The sequence below is a fragment of the Homo sapiens genome, chromosome 11 (genome assembly GCF_000001405.40).
Source record: "Homo sapiens chromosome 11, GRCh38.p14 Primary Assembly".
In the NCBI taxonomy this organism is placed as follows: Eukaryota; Metazoa; Chordata; class Mammalia; order Primates; family Hominidae; genus Homo; species Homo sapiens.
Window position 1 is genome coordinate 116442823 of NC_000011.10, and position 24032 is coordinate 116466854.

The window sequence follows — 24032 nt, forward strand, 5'->3', positions numbered from 1 at the left end:
AGCAATCTCATGAAAATCAACCCCCCCAAGTGAAAACATTTAGTTTGCAAGTAACTGGATCACTGAACAAGAATAATTCATAGGATATAATCATAACATAACTTATTTTTGTTTCTCATTGTCTGTTTATAATTTATTTCACAGGGGCAGTTTTCCCTTTGCCCATGGATATAATCTTGGCCCTAAGCATGTCCCATAGCTTGGTGGTTGTGATAGGTAGAGTTCTAAGACAGCCCCCAAGATTCTGCCTCCTGCAGCACACCTTATATAATGGACAAGACCCGTAAATATGATGGGGTAGTCACTCCCTTGAGTATGATACATTACATAAGACTCTTTCGTGGCAAGCAGACTGAATATGGGTTCTGGTGCTTGTTTAGCTAGGAAATTACTGTGTGGTGAAAGGGCCACATAATTAAGACTTGAGGGTGGCCTCTAGGAACTAAGAAAGACCCTGGGCCAGCTATCAGCAAGAAAATGGGGATGTTAGTCCTACAACCACAAGGAACTAAATGCTGTTAACATCTTGGAAGGAGATGCCAAGCTCCAGACGAGAACACTGTGTGGCAGACATCTTAACCTCAGCCTTGTGAGACCCTGAGCAGAGAACCCAGTCAAAGGTCAAATGTTCATGCCAACTCCTATTCTATAGAAGGTGTAAGGGAAAAAAAAGAGGTATTGTTCTAAGTCCCTAAGTTTGTGGTAATTTGTTACACAGCAGTAGAAAACTACAGTAGTCCACCCTTATCCATGGTTTCACTTTCCATGGTTTCAATTACTCACCATCAACTGAGATCTGAAAATATTAAATGGAAAATTCCAGAAATAAAAAATTCATAAGTTTTAAATGGCATACACCATTCTGACTTGAGGAGCACAGTGAAATCTTGCACCATCCTGCCTAGGATGTGAATCATTCCTTTATCCAGTCTGGATACATATTGTGGATACAGTGGTGTATCCACATTGTCTACACTACCTGCCTGTTAGTCACTCAGCAGCCATCTCAGTTGTCAGATCAACTGTCATGGTATCACAGAGCTTGTGTTCAAGTCACCCTCATTTTACTTAATAGTGGCCCCACAGCATAAGAGTAGCGATGCTGGCCGTTTGGATGTGCCAAAGAGCAGCCATAAAGTGCTTCCTTTAAGTGAAAACCTGTGAGTTCTCAATCTAATAAGTAAAGAAAAAAAATGTATGCTGAGGTCGCCAAGATCTATGGCAAGAGTGAATCTGCTGTCCATGAAATTGTGAAGAATGAAAAAGAAATTCATGCTAGTTTTGATATCACACCTCAAATTGCAAAAGTTATGGCCATGGAGCATAAGTTCTTAGTTAAGATGGAAAAGGCATTAAGTTTGTAGGTGGAAGACATGAACAAAAACATGTTCCAATTGACACAATCAGGTTTGGTACTATCTGTGGTTTCAGGCTTGCAACTCGGGGGCTTGGACCTGATCCTCTGCAGAGAAGGAAGGACTACTGTAATCAAGTCACTTCCCCACATTCTTTCTATCAAAACACAAACAGAAAATATTTATATACTACACTGAGATAAACGGACAAAGCTACCCAAGGCTGGGGGCACTGCTATGGGGGCTCCAATGTCCCCCAGACCCCCTCTACCACCCCAAGGACTGAGGGGATCAATCTCTAGTCCCACCCGTCAAGAAGCTCTCTAAAAAGAGGCTGGGCACGGTGGCTCACACTTGTAATTCCAGCATGCTGGGAGGCCAAGGCAGGCAGATCACCTGAGGTCAGGAGCTCAAGACCAGCCTGACCAACATGGTGAAACCCCATCTCTACTAAAAATACAAGAATTAGCTAGGCGTGGTGGCTCACGCCTGTAATCCCAGCTACTGGGAAGGCTGAGGCATGAAAATCGCTTGAACCCTGGAGACAGGTTGCAGTGAGCTGAAATAGCACCACTGCACTCCAGCCTGGGCGACAGAGGGAGACTCGTCTCAAAAAATAAATAAATATATAGAAAATCCTACCGGCACTTTTTTGTTTTTTTGTTTTTTTTTTTTGTGATGGTGTCTCACTCTGTCACCCAGACTGGAGTATAGTGGAGCGATCTCGGCTCAATGCAACCTCTGCCTCCCAGGTTCAAGCGATTCGCCTGCCTCACAGCCTCCCAAGTAGCTGGCACCACCGGTGCCCACCACCACGCCAGGCTAATTTTTGTATTTTTAGTAGTGACGCGGTTTCACCGTGTTAGCCAGGTTGGTCTCGATCTCCTGACCTCATGATCTGCCCGCCTCAGCCTCCCAAAGTGCTGGGATTACAGGCGTGAATCACCCTGCCTGGCCTACTGGCATTTTAAGTTGTAAACACAGTCTTCCATCAGAACTGTGGAACATTCAGCAATAATCACAATTCTTCATTTTCTTTAGTATTGAAACTTTTCCTACCTTCAACAGGATCCTGCTACCTCTGGGCTGCTGGCACTGGGAGAAGGGGGCAAAGTTCTTCTCTCTTTCTTGTGTTTCAGCAATCACACCCTGCTGTCAGCTCTAGACTCTGCATCCTTGTCATCCCAATCAGAATGCCTTTTCCAGGTCACCAGCCCTCATGAACACCGCCAGACTCTTTTTGGGGAGTACAAGAATTCTTGGCTCTTTCCGAACCCCATACTAGGGTATAAGGATTCTAAGAGGCTGCCAAGGACTCATCAGGCCTAGATGCCTCCAACCTCTGTTTCCACACTGCTTAAGTGTGGTCCTTATATACACAAGGCTGTGCTCTGGGTGGTTAGACAATAGCTCTTCTCCTTGAGAACCCCCTTCCCCTCCAGCCTGTCTGGGCTGTTGTCTACGCTCCAGGCCACGGCCCAATGGGATGGAGCCCTAAGCCTCTTCCCAGGGACCCAGCAATTTAAACTTGAACCAAGCTCAATTCTCCCTCCTCTACCCCCACCTCACCCCTTAGTTGAAATCTTATCTCTTTTTGGGCAGGGAAAGAGACTGTTCTTCACAGTCTGGTTTATGACATAAAACCTATGCTCTGAGCCCTCTGGCTTTTGCTTTTGATATTTAAAGCCAAGCTTTTGAAATTCAAAAATACCCTTTTTTCTCTCAAGAACCTTGCCCTTAGAATTGAAATCCGTGGCTCTCAATACCATTGCCTCTACAATAGATTTACAAAAGGCTACTTAAGAGCTCAAAAGCCAGGAAAGGGACTCTTTGTTCTCTCTGCAGGGTCCCCTACCCTAAGGGCAATGCATAGAGAAAGCCCTAGCTATAATTCAAATAGTGAGGCGGAGAAGTGAGAGGGTTAAAGGAATTGGAAAGGTGCTGAGCCTAATATCAAAATTTTACTGTGCAGCATTTATAAAATGCTGAGGTATGTTTCGCCAAGGCTCAACTAGGTGTGGTTTTCATGACTCATTCCAGCCAAAGTATTAATAAAAGCAAAGCAATCGTGCCTTTATAAATATTGACACAAATAGTTGACAGGTAAGTTTATTATGTTTCTTTATGAGCATAACTTTTTAAAAATTATCTAAGAATTTCTTCAATGTGCAGTTTTAAATACATTACTTGTTTTATAATTGAAAGAGTACATAAAAGTATTTCTAACATCCACACATATATGGTACAAGGGCAAAGGCAATTTTTCCCTCCCCCTCTGAAAGTTCAAGCCTGCTGAAATGAACTAATAGACAGATTATCAAGTGAAAAGACAAACAAATGTGTTAATGTGCATGAGAACAGAAGCCATACATAATATGAGATTCAAAGAAGGTCCAGGTGGTTGAGGCTTAAATACCCTCTTCATAGGAGAGATGGAAATGGGATGGAGGAAATTTTGAGGAGTAGTAAATGAATTTTCAGGGAAATCGAATGAGCACAAAGAACAGACAATGGCTTGGGACAAAGTTCTGAGCTCTGGAGGAGGTGGTGAGAGGTTGAGGGGCAGAACTTCGCTATGAACAAAGGTTGTCTTATTATGCTAATAGAGTCTCCCAGGTAATCTCTCAGAAGAATTGATGATAAGTCTGCCTGGGTGTGGTGACAACTTTTAGACTTTTCTCTTGTCCAGCAGTTAGTCTTTCCTGGTTATTTGATGAGATTCCCAGGGAGGGGATCTTAAGACAATTACATTTCTTTTTCTTTATTTATTTATTAACAGAGTCTTGTTCTGTCACCCAGGCTGGCGTGCAGTGGCATGATCACAGCTCTCTGCAGCCTCAGCCTCAACCTTCCAAGCTCAAGCGATCCTCCCACCTTAGCCTCCCAAGTAGCTGGGACTACAGGCATGAGCCACCACACCCAGCTAATTTTTGTATTTTTTGTAGAGATGAGGTTTTGCCATGTTGCCCAGGCTGGTCTCAAACCCCTGAGCTCAAGTGATCCACCTGCCTCAGCCTCCAAAGTGTTGGGATTACAGTTGTAATCCACCATGGCCAGCCTATTGCATTTATTTTGGGAAAAGTCTTCCTTAGTCAGATAAGGGAACTCCCAGAAATAGCCCCTCCCTGCATTTAGTAAAGTGGGAGGAGAGAAACAAGAGATGGTGAGAAAGTCCTTGGTTCTGAGGCAACTTCTAAGGCCTTCCAGTTTCCTTTAATTCAAAAGTGCTCAGCAAGCCAAAGTATCACACTTTGGGATATCATTCTCTGTGCCCCAACAATGGTGTCAAAAAATAAAACCAGAGCAGGACAGAAGTGAAAGTAGTGAAGACAAGTTTTATTTAGCACTATTGCAATAGGGGAAGAGAGACCCTGGTATCATACTGGGGTCTATTCTGAATACACCAGGGATACATATGGATTTATAGCCAGTGAGGAAGGGGGCCAGTGGATAGTAAATTGCTAAGAAGAGACACAAAGTTCAGGAGAATTTTTGGCTGAACCAACCTAACAGGATTTCTGCTGAAGGCAGAACAGTGTGATCAGATAACAAGGGTGGGGAGTGAAGAATTGTGATCAGGTATCAAGGGTGATCAGGTATAGAGTGGGGGAGATTCTTGCTAAATTGCCTTGGCAGCTTTATTTGCTAAAACTGAATTTTATAAGGAAGGGCACACAAGGTCCTAGGAGAAGCTTCAGAAGCCTAAGTCTGGCCATGCTAAGAGTCTTTCTCAGAGGGCAACAATTTTGATGATGGGCTTGCAGAACATGCTTCCCCAAAATATGGCACCTTGGCATTTGAGAAAACAGCAGAAGCAGGAAGGTCACTCTTACCTTCCTCTTGCCCCTTTCTCCCCTGAAGCAGGCCATAAAAGTTAGCTGACCTTTCTCTGAATTAGGTCATAGGAACCTCAATGTCCTTATCTCTGAACACACAGGGACACAGAGGAGAATCTGAACAATCAGGTCCTGATAAATTCTCCCCAATTTATTATCATTAGATCATACCCACTTTGTCCAATGCATAACTGTCTGCTCTTCACCAAGCCTAAGCATAAAAGTACACAGGTTTCCAATTTCTTTGGCTCTTTATTTCTGAAGATTCCCATGTCACATAAAGCATATTAAATCATAAAAGAAACTTTGTTATGCTTTTCTCTTGTTAATCTGCTATTATAGGTACCTCAGCTGTGAACGTTCTAATGGGTGAAGAAAAGATTATTTCGGTACCTCAGCTGTGAACGTTCTAATAGGTGAAGAAAAGATTATTCCCCCCCTCCCACTGACAAATGTGCAAAACAAATTCAGTGGAGTAGTCTTCAACAAATGGTACTGGAACAATTGGATATCCATAGCCAAAAATGTAACTTCAATCCACACATCCCACCATATACAAAAATTAATTCAGAATGACTCACAGTCCTAAATGTAAAATCTAAAACAATAAAACTTCTAAAAGAAAACATAAAAGAAGATCTTTGTGACCTGGGGTTAGGCAAAGACTTCTCAGATATGACATCAAAAAACACAACCCATAAAAGAACAAGTTAATTAATTGGCCTTCATCAAAATTAAAAACTCCTGCTCTTTGAAAGACACGATTGAAGGAAAAGACATGCCCTGGATGGGGAGAAAATCTTAGAATATATGTGTAAAAGACTTATCCAGGATAAACACAGAGCTTAAAAACTCAATAATAAAACAAATAACACAATTTTTTTAATGAGTAAAAGATTTGAAGACATTTACCAAAGGAGATATATGGATGGAAAACAAGCAATAAAAATTAATGATCAACATAATTAATCATTACAAAAACGTAAATCAAAACCACAGTGAGATACCACTTCATATCTATTAGAATGACTAACATGAGAAAAGTTGACCATGTGAAGTGTTGGTAAGAAACTCTCATAAACTGCTGGTGGGGCTGTAAAAAACCACTGTGGAAAACAGTTTGACAGTTTCTTATAAAGTTAAACATACACTATATTAGTTGGTTCTCACACTGCTATGAAGAAATGCCTGAGACTGGGTACTTTATAAAGGAAAGAGGTTCAATTGACTCAGAGTTCCGCATTGCTGGGGAAGTCTCAGGAAACTTACAATTGTGGCGGAGAAGCCAGGATCTTCTTCACAGGGCAGCAGAATAGAGTGAGTCCAAGCAGGGGAAATGCTAGAAGCTTATAAAACCATCAGATCTTGTGAGACTCACTCACTCTCATGAGAACAGCATGAGAAAAACTGCCCCCATGATCCAATTACCTCCACATGGCCTCACCCTTGACACATGGGGATTATAAGGATTATAATTCAAGGTGAGATTTGGGTGGGGACACGGAGCCAAACCATATCATATACCTACCATGTGGTTCAGCCATTTCTTTCTTAGGTATTTCCCTAACAAAAATAAAAACACATATCCATACAAAGACTTTTCCATGAATGCTCATAGCAGCTTTATTTGTAATAGCGCCAAACTGGAAACAATCCAAATGTTCATCAACTGGAAAATAGATAAACAAATTGTGGTATATCCATATAATGGAATACTACTCAGTAATTAAAAGGAACAGACTATTGATCCAACTTAACATAGGATAAATCACTTATGCTAAGTGAAAGATGCCAGATGAAAAAGAATACATACTGTATAATTGCATTTATATAAAATTCTAGAAAGTATAAACTAACCTATAGTGACAGAAAGCAGATCAGTGATTGCCTATGGGGAGAATGGGCAAAAAGGGGTAAAGAACAGGGAGAAGGGATGGATTACAGAGACATGGAGAATTTTGTGGGGGTGATGAATATGTTTATTACTTAATTATGATGATAATTTCATAGGTATATAGATATGTCAAAACCCACCAAATTGTATATTTTAAATACATATCATTTATTGCACGTCAATTATACTTCAATAAAGCTGTTAAAAACATGTGTGTATAAAAACTACACGTGTTTCTGGGTTGGCTACAGAGACAAACTTCCAACACAATCTGCCTACCTTTCCAAACCTGAACTTAGGCACACCAACTACATATAGACCTCTCAAGGATTTGGTTGTTATACTCATTAAATGTTGTACCTGTCAGGCCTCTGAGCCCAAGCTAAGCCATCATATCCCCTGTGACCTGCCCGTACACATCCAGATGGCCGGTTCCTGCCTTAACTGATGACAATCCACCACAAAAGAAGTGAAAATGGCCCGTTCCTGCCTTAACTGATGACATTGTCTTGTGAAATTCCTTCTCCTGCCTCATCCTGGCTCAAAAGCTCCCCTACTGAGCACCTTGTGACCCCCACTCCTGCCTGCCAGAGAACAACCCCCTTTGACTGTAATTTTCCTTTACCTATCCAAATCTTATAAAACGGCCCCACCCCTATCTCCCTTCGCTGACTCTCTTTTCGGACTCAGCCCGCCTGCACCCAGATGAAATAAACAGCCTTGTTGCTCACACAAAGCCTGTTTGGTGATCTCTTCACACGGACACGCATGAAAGTACCTAAAGTGAATCTGTTTTATTATCTGTGATTACCACAAAATATACAACTAATTTTTTATTTTTTTGAAACAGAGTATCCCTGTCGCCCAAACTAGAGTGCAGTGGCACAATCTCAGCTCACTGGCACAATCTCAGCTCACTGCAACCTCTGCCTCCAGGGCTCAAGTGATTCTCATGTCTCAACCTCCCGAGTAGCTGGGATTACAGTTGTGCACCACCACACCTGGCTAATTTTTGTATTTTCAGTAAAGACGGACTTTCACCACATTGGTCAGGCTGGTCTCAAACTCCTGGGCTCAAGTGATCTGCCCGCCTCAGCCTCCCAAAGTGTTGGGATTACAGGCATGAGCCACTGTGCCCAGCCTTAGTTTTTTAAAATGTTAATATTCAATCAGTATTAAGATCTGTGAACCTGTGGCAGGTCCATCAATAGGCATCTAATCCTGCACATTATGTTTTAAATGATGGGTGGGTAGGTAGTCTCGGTGATATCCTTCACCTGTAATATGCAGCCCAGCGAGGCTCCAGCAGCCTGAGTTACTGAAGTCACTGAAAGCTGCAGGAGGAATAAGAAAAGGGAAAACTGTACTGGAAGGAGGCCAGGCTGGGGAAAGTGGGGAAGGTGAGAATGAGGTGGTGGGCCCCACATGGCCTGCAGAAATAATATAATAATAGTCCTAGTGGCTATAATAAATTGCATATGCAGTGCTTTACATATGTGATCTTGATTCATCCTTAAAACCCTAAGAAGTAAGTACTACTCTTAAACCCCTTAAAATATAGGAGACTAAGGTCTGATAGAAAACTGAAATACCTTACGTTAGAAACTACAACGGCTGGAAGAGTGTTTCAAACCGTACGTTTCCTATTGTTGCTGTACCTAATTACCACCAATTTAGTGGCTTAAAACAACACAAATTTATCCTGTCCCACTTCTACAGGTCAGAAATCCAAAATGACTCTTATAGGGTCAAAATCAAGGTGTGGGCAGCACTCTGTCCCTTCCGAAGGCTCCAGGGGAACATCCACTCCTTACCTCTTCAAGTTTCTATGGACTGCCAGCATTCCTTGGCTTGTGGCTACATCACTCCAATTTCTGCTTCTGTCATCATATGGTCTTCTCCTTCCTTTAACTCTACTGTCTCCCTTTCATGAGGACCCCTGTGATTATATAGGGTTCACCTTGATAATTCAGGGTTACACACCCACCCTCAACCCTAACCTCAAATGCTCAATTTAATCACATCGGCAAAGTCCATTTGACCATGGAGAGTAACATAGTCACAGGTTCTGGAGATTAGGACACAGATGTCTTTGGGGTCATTATTCTACCTACCACACCAACCCTGGCTGACATGACTCCTTCGATTGCTAATCAGTCCTCAGTCACCCTCCCTGTCCCATCTTCTCTCAATCCCCTCCCCAGTTTTACACTGTGGCCAGACCTCAAGACCTGTCATATGCCATGTGCTTTCCCCCGTCTTCCTCCCTCCAGGTGATTGCCCTCTGCTGAAACGCCTCCTTCTTGTCCTCAGCAGATCCTCAAGACCTGCTGAAATCCCAGCCATTATCCAAGCTTAAATGCCAGCTCCCTATGAGGCCTTTCCTAATCTCTAGCTGGGAGTGCTCTCTGCTTCCTGAGACCCCCGTGGCATTTGAGTAGCACATTTGGATTTGTGCTGGGGTGGCTTGTGTAAGCTCTTCAGGCTGGAATCATGTGTCATTCATCTATGTATCCCCCACAGCCCACAACACAAAGCCTACACACAGGGGACTTAATGAGCATTTATTCAGCACCTGAATGGATCAATAGATGGATACAAGCCAGGATCAGATGAAGCATCCTCTGACTCTTAGTATCACAACACACTGGTCCTCCCCAGAGCCCTCTGTGCATGTGGCCTGGCATGTCTCACTGCCAAGGTGGCCAGCACTGCCCCCGAGCAGTTTTGACTCTATCTGATGCCCACCACCAGGCTCAGCATGTTTGCTGAGAGCTGCTTTGGCTTGGAGCTTGAGCTGCATTGAACAGATGATGTATGTAAGGGAAGGCAGAAAGCAAGCGAGAGCTTTCACAGCTGAAGGGATCCAGTCCCCGCATTCCCATGGCCAAGGAGAGCAGAGCAAGGATGCTCAGCCTGGGAATGTGTTGTTCTGACTGTTTCAGGATCCTGGGCCAGCCCTTTCCTGCCATGTGGGGGCCTGGTGTGTGCCTTTGCAGCTGGAGCCACCCACCCCGGAGACATGCTCCTGGACACTCGCCGATCACTTTACAAAACCACTGGGTTCAGGGTAGCCAGTAAAATCATGCAGCACTGACACCTTTATTTTACCTGCAAAACTCAGGGAGGGGAAGGTCCCAGTCACCATTTTCATCAACCCACATTTATTGATGCAGTGGGAAAGAGGCACCAGGCTAGACTCTGGCTCACCTACTCCCAACACCTGCACACACAAGTGCAAACAAGTGTGTGCATGCACATATGAATGTGTGTACACCTTTGTGCACACTGTAGCACATGTAGGGTTGAAAACAGAGGCCCTCGGTATTCGTTAAGGCAAACCTAGGTTTCCATTTCCTACTGATTAAATCCATTGCTTTAGTGACCACCTCCTCTGGGGACAAAGGGGTTTCAGGCCTTTGTCCCCAGAGGAGGTGGTCAGCAAAGCAATGGATTTAATCCTTTAAACTATAAGGCAATGAATCTCAAATAAAAATATTTGAAAAGTTTCTCCAAAGAATGTGTGAGTACTGGGGGCCAAGGAGTAGGGCATTGTTTTTAGCCAAGTGTTTTGCATTTGTCTGAGTGGTGATGCCATCTGTCACCAGCTTGGAGTAGAGGAGAGATATAGATAAGAAAGAAGGAAAGGGCCAGGCCCGGTGGCTCATGCCTGTAATCCCAGCACTTTGGGATGCTGAGGCAGGTAGATCATTTGAGGTCAGGAGTTCAAGACCAGCCTGGCCAACACAGCAAAACCACGTCTCTACTAAAAATACAAAAATTAGCTGGGTGTGGTGGCACGTGCCTGTAATCACAGCTACTTGGGAAGCTGAGGCAGGAGAATTGCTTGAACCCAGGAGGCAGCGGTTGCAGTGAGCTGAGATCGCACCATTATCGCACCATTGCACTCCAGCCTGGGCGACAGAGCGGATTCTATCTCAAAATTTTTCAAAAAAGAAAGAAGGAAAATGAGATCTTTTTAGAGCACTTTCCACCTTTGCATTTGTCAGATTTTCACATGTAGTTTGGAATCATATAAATTTCTACCCTCAGTTATCTTTCATCTAATAGAACTTTTTAAATATGTGCTAATAGCAAACAGATAGATATTGGCTTGTCAGGTATTTGGGGCTTTGCATAACACTGCACCTTTCTCTGGAGATATTTGGCAGCAGCCACTGCCCTGTGGGACTACAGAGTTGATCACTCTAAGCAGTGGACCAGGGCCACACAGATAGGCATTAGACCCAATAGGCAAATCTAAGGGGCACCATTCGCACTGTGGCCGTGCAGAGTCGAATATTTGCTGCAAGCATTTTCCAGCAGGTGGCAGTGATGTGTCTCCAGGAAGGAGTTCTGGTTTCTCATTTGCACCAGGCACCACACGAGCTGGGAAGACTGCTGCAATATCCAGAGGACCTGGTGCCCCTATGTCACCTTGGGTTCTTTCCTTTAGCGATATGGTGCTGGGAACACAAAGATGGTCAGAATGCCAGGCCATCCCAACCTGTGTCCATGTGACATATCCACTGTGCTAGCCAGGCTTTGGCAGAGAAAGTGACCTGGGTCTGATAGAGGCAAACTGAGCAGCTGCACGTGTTTTGACTTATATTCTGGACCCAGACTACATCCTGGTGTGGAGGAAAGAATGGAGAGACAAATGAATATCTTCCTCGCTGCTGTGTCCTCAGAACCCAACAGAAAGGGTGCACGATATATATTATTGAGGGAACGGATAGATGGATGGATGGATGGATGGATGGATGGATGGATGGATGGATGGATGGTTGGATGGATGGATGGATGGATGAATGAATTAATTATTCAACAGACACCCACCTATGAGTATGTGCTCTCCTGTCATTGGATATATTCTTCTTCTCTGGTCTTCAGAGAGAGAGAGAGAGAGAAACAGTAAAAAGCAACACCCAGGGACTTCTACCTCTGCAGGAAGGCAAGAACTGCCTAAATGAATTCACTGAAAAGATCTCCCACCAGGAAGCAGCTCCTGGAGAGTTCCCTTTCTGGGGAGCAAATCTCTTCCTTAATCACCACTTGCTGCTGCTCACCGTTACTGCTTGCTGGTCCAGCTGTCTGTCCCACCTCTCAGCAAAGCCTATTTACTAAGCCCATTTGGAAGTCTAAAATGTAATCACTGGCTTCCTCCTCAGAATATTAATATTCCAATAGGACTTCCCAGAGCCAGGCTGGAGCTCCTTGCAGGATTAGCTGGGTGTGGTCCCATCTGTCTCCTCCTACACCAATGCTGCTCAGCTCAAGAAATCCACAGATAAGACAGAAACCAGGCAAAGGCCTGGGCTATGACAGAGACACCTCTGCTGGGAATGACCAAGGTCAGCCTGGCTGTGAAAGAGTCTGGGCTTAGGAAAAAAGGCTGGGGGGTGGCAGGGGTTTAAGGTCAGGCCTCAGGAGCAGAGCTGAGGCACCCAGGGCTGCCTCATCCCACTCTTACCTGCTCTGCTTGATACGACGTCTGCCTCACAATGTCTACACCTCTGCAGGCAGGTCTGCAGCCCAGGAGCTGCTGGGCTTAGTGGACAGTCTGGCTCACAAGGGGACTTAATAAGCACTCAATGAATAGAAGAGCTCTCGGCAACATGACTAAGGCAGAATCCCACTCATTTTTATTTGTCGTAAACCCACCTACTATTCCTTGCTGCAGCAAATGCTTTTTGAGCACCCACTACACATCAGGCACTGTGCTGGGTGCTGGGAATATACCAAAGAACAAAAAAGGCAAGGCCCTACCTTTGTGGAGCTCAGTCAAGTGGGAGACATAAATGAGCAAGGAGTCAATTGCAGTAGAGGGGAAAAAATGCACTGCTAGGACTTGGATCAGGGACACCCAGACTAATGCAAAAGGATTCCTGGAGGAAGTGGCCATTAAACTGATATTTGAAGGATGAGTAGGAGTTAGCAGGCAGGAGAACCAACATGTGCAAAAGCCCAGAGGCCAGAGAAAGCCTGGTGCTTTCTAACAAGTCAAAATTCAGGTTCACTAGAGCTGTGAATGGGAGAATGGCAAGAGAGGAGGATGGACGGAGGCTGGTCTCCAAGAGCCATGTTGTCAGCTATGCATGACTTTCACACTTTGTCCTGGGGACAGAGGGTTAAGCAGGGATGCAACAACAGAGTCTGGGGAATATGTGAGGCCAAAGCAAGTAGGGATTGGGAATTAGCAAAGGAAAATAAGGATTTGGGCATCCTGGAAACCATTTCTGAGCATTTAAAACAAATTCTATCTTATTTGGTCTCCCCTAAGGGATAGGCACACAGGTATAAAAGGTTACAGGGCCAGTGCGGTGGCTTACGCCTATAATCCAGCACTTTGGGAGGCTGAGACAGGCAGATCATGAGGTCAGGAGATTGAGACCATCCTGGCTAACACGGTGAAACCCCATCTCTACCAAAAATACAAAAAATTAGCCGGGTATGGTGGCGCACACCTGTAATCCCAGCTATTTGGGAGGCTGAGGCAGGAGAATCGCTTGAACCTGGGAGATGGAGGTTGCAGTGAGCCAAGATCACACCATTGCACCCCAGCCTGGGTGACAGAGTGAGACTATGTCTCAAAAAAAATAAAATAAAATAAAATAAAATAAAATAAAATAAAATAAAATAATAAAATAAAATAAAATAAAATAAAAATAAAAATAAAAATAAAAAGGAAGGTTTCAGATAACCATCTCTCATAAACTTCACACTTCAAAAGGGTTTTCATGTCCACCTCCTCAAGTGATACTATCATAATGCAGAGGTCAGCAGAGTTACCCTCCACTTACAGATGAGGAAACTGAGACCGAAGGAGGCAAAAGACTCATTAGCAACAGCATTGTAAACACGGTTGCACAGAGAGCTTTCCAGTTTCCTTATGCAGTCAGTTCTCTGTATCTGCGAGTTCCATCGTCAGATCCAACCAACTGTGGATTGAAAATATGGTATTCTCAGGATGCAAAACCCATGGATGCCAAGGGCCAAGTTCTCTTATCTGTGGGTTCTGCAAGACCTGTTGCAAGACTTGAGCATCCATGAATTATCCATGGTGGGGGTAGAGTGGTCCTGGAACAAATGCGATCATCACATAGATTAAGTAAGACTGTTAGTGTGTATTACAGGTGAGGAAACCTAAGGTTAGGAAGTTTACAGAGCACTGTCCTGCCAGTGAGTGACCACACAGATCCAGGTGGATTTCCACCCCACTTTGCTCCCTGCACAGGAAGAGGAGCCAGCCCTGAGGCCCTGAGAGCTGGCCCAGCACTCTTGGCATGGCAGGCCACACAGCTGGAGAGAGAGACACTCAGAAGCAGCCCCGCACAGAGGCTTGGGGGATCAAATAGAACCCTCAAAACATACAAAACTCTGAGGACTGACTTGAGTGAGCTGAGCACGTATTCCAGGCCGAGCTGTAAGCCCTGCAGAGAGATCACTGGGAATTCCAAACCCTGCACTGTCTTCCCATCCCTGCCTGGCTCCCTGCCTCCTAGAGCCGAGTCCCATGGCCTCCTAAGGTGGAGTAATGATGAGGACAGCCCAAGGCCCAGCAGCTCCTCACCAGCTTCTGGAGGCTGGGCCTGTCCTGCTGAGGAGACAGGGCAGGAGCCAGCTCTCTCTGGCACGCTGCTTAGATAGGAAAAAAAGTAATCTCACTCAGAAGGAACAGCAGCAGCAAACAGAGCCCTCTGTCTGAGGGCCTTCTGCCCTTCCCCTAGTTTCTGTGTATCTTCTCCGCTAGCAGTTTTTTTCCTGAGGAAGGGGAAGAGGCAGGGGAGTGGGTGCAGACATGGAGATGGACGTTATTCTTTTCTAAAGAAGGTCTTTGTTGCTGTTATTTTCTACCTTCCTCCGTGGGCCGAGAGCCCCTGCAGTGCCATGAGGGCTGCTCAGTGCCATGGAGACAATTGTGTTATCAGAGGGAGAGGATTATGGCTCCAGTGGGGAGGGAGGAGCAGGATCACCAGCTGAGCCGGCGACTGACAAGAGAAGATGACAAATCACTTAGGCCCCAGGTTGAGAGCCCGGCGGCAGGCAGGGAGATGCAGAGACAGGTCTTGTCAATTCTGAAGGATTGTCAGTGTCACCGGAAACAACAGTCTCTTTAAAAAGGTGTCATCCCCCTGAAGTGGGGGACACCTGAAACAGAGCAGCTGGTGGGGGGCCAGGGGCGGGGGAGGATTGTGCAAATGGCGGAAGGCTGTCCCCGTTACACATCACTGATGGAGGTGGGCTGGGGAAGGGACAAGTGGGAAGGAAGAGGAAAGGCAGGCCTGCTGGCCGAGACAGAAGGAATGGGCCCTCCAGGTGGACAGGAAGGAGGTCCACAAGACTTGGGCAAGGTTTGAATAAGCCTGTATATGGTAAGGACTTAATAAACAAAATCTTTAAAAGAAAAAAAGTGGTTACTCTGAGAGTTCAGTCACCCAGGACATATTGTGAGCTCCCCTTATGCCCAGCACTATGCTACGCAACTTGTAGGACACAGCAAAATAGTAGACGTGGCCCCAGCCTTCCCGATTGGCTGCAAATCCATGTGGGAATGACATAACCATGCCTGGCTTTTGTGGGGAGTGGGTGGGCAGGAAGTGGCTAGGCTGGAAGAATCCTCAAGAGAATTTGCAGCAGGAAAGAAGACAGAAGAAAGAATGGAAACAATCTACCTTATTTCTCGGGACCTCAGTTTCCTCATCTGTACAATGGAGAACCTTACACTCTTGACTTTCTAGGGTGCTGCCTTAAAGGCACTCTGCTCACCTTTGACCAGGGTTTAGCCTCTTCTCCTCTTGTAGCAGCAGGGAGCAGTTCCTGACATCCTTATCTCCTGGAATATAAATGACTTGGGCCATGATTTATTACCAAGCAGAGGAAGAAAGAAAACTATGTTGGTGTCTTCGAGGCAACTGGTGGCATCTTCCAAGACTCGCCTGCAACCACTATCCCACCCCAGTACACCCAAAATAAATAGGGGAGACACATTTTCAGGGCTCTCCTGACACATCTAATGGATATCAGATGGGAGCGTCTGCATAGCAAATAGGAATCTAATCTACCCCCTCATTCAGCCAAATGGAAACAGCGGGATCTCCACGGCCGAGCCTCTAGCTTCTGGCGGGTAACACGTAAAAGGAAAATGGAAACAGATTACAGTCAGTCTGATATCCACATAACAAATAGGGATCCCGGAGAGAAATTTGTTTTATTGATGTTTGGGAAGAGATCCACTGATTTCCTTGTCTGCTCTGCCTTGCCACTTTAATTGAAGAAGGTGCTAGTTAACCGCTAAAGGAAAAATAAAATGAAAGGAGGTGCTTAATGGCTGGCACTCGCCTGCTGCCGAGCACATGCAATCAGGCACACACGCCCGCACACACTCTGCAGTAAACTCCCTTCCCGACAACCCAAAGTGTCAGTTGGAACTGACCATTGATTAGGCACAGTTCATTTTCCCAGGGGTTGACAGGTGTTGTAGGCCTTAGAGGCAGATGGATTGCAGGGGAACGGATCTGCCGCTGGGCCTGGAGCCATGGGCTGGGGCCTGGGGAATGTCAGGTTTCTGGAAGGAGTAGCTGAGAACCGCCTGGGATGCAGGCCCGGGTGAGATGTGGCCACCCAGAGGCCAGGGAAGAGTGTTGAGGCGTTCACAACAAGCCTCACAAAAACCTGACCTTGGACCTCAAAAAAACAGAGGGAAAGGAAAAAAAATGAAACGAAATCATGGAAAGTAGGCAAAGAGCTGAAAGGACAGGAAAGAAGAAAGGGTATAAAAATACCCTGGCTGCTGCATTCTCATCAGTACCATGATCTACATCTGAAGATGCCAGGTAGGAGGGGAGACTTTTGTGATACTATAAATATAGTTTATAGGCTTTGGTTTATCTTTATGACAGACCCAATAAATAATTTACTGGTCAGTAAAAGATCAAAGAAACTGCTAGAACTGCAGCCTGAAACATCAACACCTCTAATGTTTATATGTAAGCTACACCAACCCTGTAAATTTACAGCTTGATGGGATAAGTTTATGGTTGTGTGCCCTGGTCTCCAAAAGGTAGACATTTTAAGAAAACAAAAGAAAGAAAACACCGGGGCAAACAGACATAAGAACAGACATAATAAGAACAGCACTGTAACAGAGAGGGTGACTGACACCACAGGGGTTTGTAGTAGTAACTGTGGGAAGTTGTCATGAACTCAGTCCCACCCCACCCCTCATCTGCCACAGGGAACCCTTAGAAGGGATATGTATATTTGTAAAAGTCAACAAAATGTATGTGATTAACCTGAGAAGTCGCTGGAGAGAAATTCAAGGTCTGGTGAGTGAATGGCCCCCAAATTCAATCAGGGAAACAGAGGCATTTTCCCAGGAAGACTGGATGTGACCAAGATTAAGATTCTGGGATTCCCTGGGGAAAAGGCTGTGATGATCTGGCTTTATCCCAGAGCTCAGGCCACATGTTTATGTTCTGTCTTCCAACTCCCTGCAAAACAGCCCTTCTTTAGCCATCTTGGGGCCTTGGGATATGCACACCAGTGATAGATCTGGGAAAGAGGCCTTGGGAGTGGCCTTGGGGCTGTTCCAGCAGGGAATTCCAAGTGCCAGGTAGGAGGTAGGCCAGAGCGGGGCCTCTAAAGCACAACCCCAGAGCAAGGACCCTGTTACCTAGGTCTTCAAGTGGTAGCAGCCTAAAGAGCAGGTGTTTACTGGTGTTCATACAGCACTGGCAAATAGGGAGAGACACAGACTGACAGAGGAATTCTGCATTTGCAGCGGTGAAAAGGGAGTCATCAGTTCATGGGCACCTCACCTTGCACCTCAAAAAAGCAGCCCCTAATCTATGCTCACCTTTGGACTGTTCATTCACTTTCCTTATTGTTTTAAGGAAGTACTCCAGATAGCAGAGAGAAGACTTCTGTCCACTGAAAAAGAACAGCTTCTTTGTAAATTACTCCCCTGCAATTTTTCTTTCCTTTTGCAGGGGGTGGGGGGGATGCAGAGTTTCGCTATTGTCGCCCAGGCTGGAGTGCAATGGCGCGATCTCTGCTCACTGTAGCCTCCACCTCCCGGGTTCAAGCAATTCTCCTGCCTCAGCCTCCTGAGAAGCTGGGATTAGAGGCATGCACCACCATGCCCAGCTAATTTTTTTATTTTTAGTAGAAAGGGGGTTTCACCATGTTGGCCAGGCTGGTCTTGAGCTCCTGACCTCAGGTGATCCACCTGCCTTGGCCTCCCAAAGTGCTGGGATTACAGGTGTGAGGCACCACATCCAGCCTTCTCTGCAATTTTACATCAGTCTTTTGTGAGTCTGATTAGCATGAGTCAATCCCCTTGAGCCCAATCACCTGAGTACCCTCATCTCTCCCTCCTTATATTTTAACAGGGCCACTGTTATCATTTGGGGTGGGATGAGTGTTTGTTGTATGGCCTGTCTTATTCATTGTAGAATGTTAACACCCCTGGTCCCTATACATTGATTTTTGATAGCCAGTAACTGCCCTTCGTCACTGAGACCATCAAAATCTCACAGACTTCCAAGTACCATTGTTCCAGTGTGTAACGCCACCTTCCTAGTGGGGAGCCATTGCTCAATCATCTAGGGGAAAAAAACCTGCATATAGATATGAAAGATCAGGAGACACAGAGACTGGGAACACACAGACAGGACACATCCGACACACAGAAATGGGGAAAAGAAAATAAACCTCGGGACTAGCCAGGACAATTTATGATACATGTCACACACTCCTATAAGATTCAACCAGAACACTAGCATTTTGCTCTTTCTCTCCATGGGAGAGAGGGCTGAAGACTGCTGCCACTCGCCAGAAGGTGACCGGCCATTTTCTCAGCCCATTAAGGCTGCCCCAAGAATCCCTCTGGGATTTGGAAACCTGTTAAAATGAAACTGTCACCAGAGCTGTGTCTCTTTTACCCCTCCACCCTGGCCTTCTCCTACTTCCATAGCCATCCTATCCCTAATGGAAGCCAATGCTGATAGATTGATGGCAGCTTGCTTTGCTGTCTTCCTAAGTGGCTTCCCCCTGCAGGGGTGGGTGGCAGCTGCTGCTGTGGGGCCAGCATGATCGTCAGACTGTAAATGAGCTCACCAGCAGCTTCATTCGTTAGAGTGACTCCATCTAGTGCTTCCCACCCAGGCTGCAGCCTGTGCTAGGCTGACTCACAATGGAAGGTCTCTCTGTGCCTACACTTGCCCCTTCTCCTACTGTCAGGAGATGAGGAAAGCATTCTGGCCTTTCTCCTGCCCTCCCAGTGCTCAGCTTCAGGAGTGTCCTGTCGAAGAGGGTAGAGGCAGGAGCCCTCCCGGGCCCCAGGCAGGTCTCTTTCTTGCCACTGTAGAGAGGGGACAGAGGACCCGCAGAAGAAGACGGAATCTCTCTGCACCCTTTCCTTGTCAGCTTTCTCTTTCAGTGACACCAACCTTGCATGTCCCTGTGTCACAGCTCCGGTGCCTGCATCCCTGCACACACATCTGATCTAGGGCCCAAGCACCCAGAATCCCCCAAGGATGCTGAGTGGGGGGGCCCACGTGGAGTGTAGCATGTGACCAACAACCAAGCTACCTGGGTTCCTTCCCCCATTGCCCCTAAAACTAAGAAGGAGAGCCCTTTCCAGCCGGGACCTCGGGAACTCAGCTCTGCCTCCACAGTTTGTCTCTGTTCCCCTCCTCATCTCTAAAACAAATCAACTCTGGCTTTCCCTCCCTGCTATTCAGAGTGCAAGAAACTACTTCACTGCAGGCTCTGGAACCTTGGGGTATGAACCACACATAAGTATATAGCGCGGAGATGGATAATTAGTATCTTTACCATTTACAGAGCATCCACCCCACGTGCTCTATACCAAGTTCTTTAAATACATCATCTTAGTTGATCCTCATAGCAATCCTGTGAGTTAGGTGCTATTATTATTCCTTATTTTAAAAGCCGAGTCAACTGAGGCTCAGAGAGGTTAAAAAAATTTGCCAAGGGCCACATGTGTGCAATAGTCTACTCTATGGAGTGCAGTACATAGAGACTTAATAAATACTTGACAAATGAAACAGTGAATTAAATGCTCAACTTTGTCTTCAGTGATTCAACCTTCTAACCCCACCCTGCAGCCAAACCGGGCCAGCTTAGCTATTTGTTTATTCGATAAATACTTATTGAGCACTTACTCAATTTTGTTCACTGCTGTGAAGGGGTACAAAAAAGCAGCCATTGGAAAAGTTAATGGAAACATTCAACTCAAAAAGTTACCAACATTTAACATTAACTTGAATTAATTTCAAGGTTATCTGTTTCCACTTTCGGCAAAGTAAACGTTAGTTAAATGGTGCATAACTAGTTGAAGACTATAGAGTAATGTAGCAAAAAGAACAGTGGATTTGAAGTCAAGGGTCCTGGATTCCAAAACCTTACTAGTTCCCCTAGTAAATGAACGTGGGCAAGACATTGAATCTTGCAAGCTTCTGTCCACATCTCTACTCTGAGGCTGAGCATATTCCTACCTTCCCACCTTCACAGCATCATGGTTATAAGCACTCAGAGGGAATGCTCATGGCAGCAAGATTTATAAACCTTAAAGCTCCAGAAATGCATGAGATGGTATTCTTTTTTGAAGGTTGGAAATTAGTCAATTGAGTGAGTATTTAAATTTTTTTTGAAAGCAATAATGGGCAATTTGTTCATAAGCACATAAATTTACTTGAAGCTTACCCTCAAAACAATTCATTCTTTCCACATAATTTGCAGAATGACAATATAACAATGTTGCTAGACTACCATGGCAAGGATTTTTTAATTTGATGTTAGCAAAAAAGGAAACCATAATTAAATAAGGCAGGACAGTGATACTGGTTTTGTGCCAATAATCCAGCCATTGGGTTTGCATCTCATTTTCAATAGTGCTCACATTTGGTGGTGTTTTACAGAAACCAGGCACCTTTCTTTCAGTCCAACCACAGTACAAGCTCCCTGGGGACAAAGACTTATCTCCACTGTCTTGCTATTCTTAACACTTCCCACAGACAAGCACAGCACCTTGCTGAAAGAAAACAGTAAATGAGTGTTTATTGCATACACCTGAATAATAAAGGAAGCTTGAATTAGGATTGCATTCAACCAAAAGTGCCAAAATCTTCATGTTCAGGGTTGAGCTTTGGTTGAGCAATCATTCAGGGAAAAGAAGCAAAGAAACAAGGCTTATATCTTTGCGGGTGTGAGGGTTAATTTTATGTCAACTTAACTGGGCTAAGGGATGCCCAGAGAGCTAGTCAAACATTCCTTCTAGGTGTGTCTGTGAAGATGTTTCCAGAAGAAATTAGCCTTTAACTCAGGAGACTGAATACAGATCACCCTCACCAATGTGGGTGGGCCTCATGCAATCCATTGAGGGCCTGAATAGAACAAAAGGTGGAGGAAGGGTGAGTCTGCTTTCTGCTTTAGCTGGGACATTCATCTTCTCCTGCCCTGGAACATCAGTGCTCCTGGTTCTCTGGCCTTTGGACTCAGTCAGGGCCTTAAATACCATTGGTTCCCCTGGTCCTCTGGCCTTCAGGCTTGGACTAGAACTACTCCACTGGCTTTCTTGGTTCTCCAGCTTGCAGATGGCAGATCATGGGACTTCTTGGCCTCTATAATCCCTTATAATAAATCTCTTTCTCTATATATCCTATTGATTCTGTTTCTTCAGAGAACCCTGACTAATATGGGGTGGTGTAAGGCAGTTACAGCAGATGTACTGAGCCTGTTACATTTCCATTGGCAGTTGTAAGTCTAATAACAGATAATACTCATTGAGTGCTTCCCCCTTGTCTGGCACTGTTTACCTCATCTAATTCTCAGGCCAACTATGAAGTATAATACAGGACTATTATTAATCCTGCTTTACAGATGAGAAAACAAAGGCACAGCAAGATCAAGAATCTTGAACCCCCACCACCCCCACCATGCCAAAAAACATCCCACAAAACCCACAGCTAATAGTGGGCTGATTCAAATGAACCCCAAAGCCCCACATTCTTAATCACTGTGTATATTGCCTAGAGATGTAGCACGTAGCACAAATGTCTTCTTGCTTGCTACTCAAAATGAGATTGTTCTCCAACTTTCACAAAAGGTGAGGGCCAATAAAGAATGATGATTTAAAAAAAAAAAAAATCCAGGTAAGTCCACATTTGTCAGAGAATGATGAAGCTGAGCAGCATTTGGCTTTTGGCCAGAGTTGGTACGCTCGTCTTTCTAACTGTCTGTGACTGATCCAAGTTGCCCCAGTGCCGACTTAATTTTGCAGATGTACAAGTATACTAGAGACAAGGTAGGTGTCAGTGCTGCTAGGCAAACTGGCAAGAGATTTTCTGTGGTTGGGAGTTTCTGTTTCTTCCAGGCATGAACAAAGTGCAATGTGGGAGCTGAACACAGGAGAAATTACCTGGCTTGTTACCAAGAATTTTTAATAGCAGCATCCTTCAATTTCTCTCCTGCGGCTTAACCCAACCCCAGGAGGAGATGAATACCTGGCAAGCCATGAATCTTGCTCTGAAGGCCACTTTCTGTAGCCATAGGTTGAATGAGGACCCATGGCATTTGCAGTTCCTAACAGACCCGACCTCGTGGAGGACTTGGATCCTCAGGCTCTCAAACAAGAGTTTCAGAAAAAAGTATATCAATCCACACTGAAGATCTTGAATGAGTAAATGAATGAATGAGTGAATATCATTTATGAGCTCCAAGCAGCCTAGTTCTCAAAATGTTTCAAGTCTCTAACTTTTAAGCAAGTTCAAGGTACTTTTTAAATTGTTGAATTTAAATATTGACCATTATTTACTTAACCTTTTAGTTCATTAGTTATTGTTTAATTCTTACACCTACAGGTGTGAGCTTTAGGGTCTGAATAAAGGAGAACAAGCCTACTAGGAAAAATGAGACACAGACACAAATAATCTCAATTCAAGGCATCATGTGATAAGTGCCACATGTACAGAGTAATGACCTGAGGGAGAGTTTGCTTCTACATGGGCAATCAGAGAAGACTTCATGGAGGAGGTTACCTTGGAAAGGAACTTGAAGAATGAGCAGGAATCTACTAGGTAGATTTGGAGGGGAAAGGAAGGAAAGAGAAAAGATACAGCCCAAGACCCAAGACTGAGAATTGGGTTCATGGAATAAAAACTGGACCAGTTAAACTTAAGCATGAAGTTTATGTGGGGAGATTAGTGGGAGATAAGATTAGAAAAGTAAATTGGGACCAGGTTGTGCTGAGCTTTGAATGTCACGGTAAGGCTTATGGGGTTTATTCAGGATACAACGGGGAGACATTGAAGGTTACTGAGCAAGGAAGAGAAATGATCACATTAGTTTGTTCCTTGTCTCTGGTTTTTGAGAGCGTATGATCTTTTCTGGCAGATACTGCGCATAGCCAAGACTGAAGCCAAAACTACTCTCCCAGGCAGCCCCTAACCTGGCTGTGCTTCCCGCCTGCTCTTCATGCCCAGAAGGCTCTCCAACAGTCCCCTTTCTGGGCATGCGGCCTGGGTCAGCTTCCCTGAGCTGCTCTCTCTAACTCTTGCTTTATTGAACACACTCCATGGTTTGGAAACAAGGCTACTGATTCTGCTGCAGCAAAAATTCAATAACAGCAAACCTTTCTCTGTTCCCAGAAAATTAAGTTAATTGATGATTGCCTTAATTGTAAATTTTTCAACTATAAACTTACTTTTAACTATTGGCCTCTGCTATGGCTTGGCTCTAATAGAATCTAGTATGAGCTGCTATTTGATTTAGCACAAAATTATATTTTTAATTAACCTGGGCTTTGAAGTTGGGCCCATCTGGATAGAAATCCTTGGTCCGCCATTTACTAGCTCTGTGACCTTAGGCAAATCAATTGCCATTTCTGAGCCTCAATACGCTCATCTGCAAAATGTGGGCAAT

General features: G+C 44.9%; 1 long non-coding RNA gene across 1 annotated transcript in view, besides 5 other annotated features; it reads right to left on the reverse strand.

The window, feature by feature from the left end:
- The window catches only part of LOC107987166 (uncharacterized), a 160015-nt gene that overhangs the window by 128612 nt on the left and 7371 nt on the right, over positions 1-24032 (reverse strand). The window lies entirely within an intron of this gene.
- Positions 1453-2270: an enhancer, noted in NCBI's record as "H3K27ac-H3K4me1 hESC enhancer chr11:116314992-116315809 (GRCh37/hg19 assembly coordinates)". NCBI's record gives its function as "activates a minimal SCP1, AML or CMV promoter by ChIP-STARR-seq in primed H9 embryonic stem cells {active_cell/tissue: H9 hESC(primed)}" and the evidence as "EXISTENCE:reporter gene assay evidence [ECO:0000049][PMID:30033119]".
- Positions 2271-3087: an enhancer, noted in NCBI's record as "OCT4-NANOG-H3K27ac-H3K4me1 hESC enhancer chr11:116315810-116316626 (GRCh37/hg19 assembly coordinates)". NCBI's record gives its function as "activates a minimal SCP1, AML or CMV promoter by ChIP-STARR-seq in primed H9 embryonic stem cells {active_cell/tissue: H9 hESC(primed)}" and the evidence as "EXISTENCE:reporter gene assay evidence [ECO:0000049][PMID:30033119]".
- Positions 3088-3905: an enhancer, noted in NCBI's record as "OCT4-NANOG-H3K27ac hESC enhancer chr11:116316627-116317444 (GRCh37/hg19 assembly coordinates)". NCBI's record gives its function as "activates a minimal SCP1, AML or CMV promoter by ChIP-STARR-seq in naive and primed H9 embryonic stem cells {active_cell/tissue: H9 hESC(naive and primed)}" and the evidence as "EXISTENCE:reporter gene assay evidence [ECO:0000049][PMID:30033119]".
- Positions 7269-7814: an enhancer, noted in NCBI's record as "OCT4-NANOG hESC enhancer chr11:116320808-116321353 (GRCh37/hg19 assembly coordinates)". NCBI's record gives its function as "activates a minimal SCP1, AML or CMV promoter by ChIP-STARR-seq in primed H9 embryonic stem cells {active_cell/tissue: H9 hESC(primed)}" and the evidence as "EXISTENCE:reporter gene assay evidence [ECO:0000049][PMID:30033119]".
- Positions 16070-16614: an enhancer, noted in NCBI's record as "H3K4me1 hESC enhancer chr11:116329609-116330153 (GRCh37/hg19 assembly coordinates)". NCBI's record gives its function as "activates a minimal SCP1, AML or CMV promoter by ChIP-STARR-seq in primed H9 embryonic stem cells {active_cell/tissue: H9 hESC(primed)}" and the evidence as "EXISTENCE:reporter gene assay evidence [ECO:0000049][PMID:30033119]".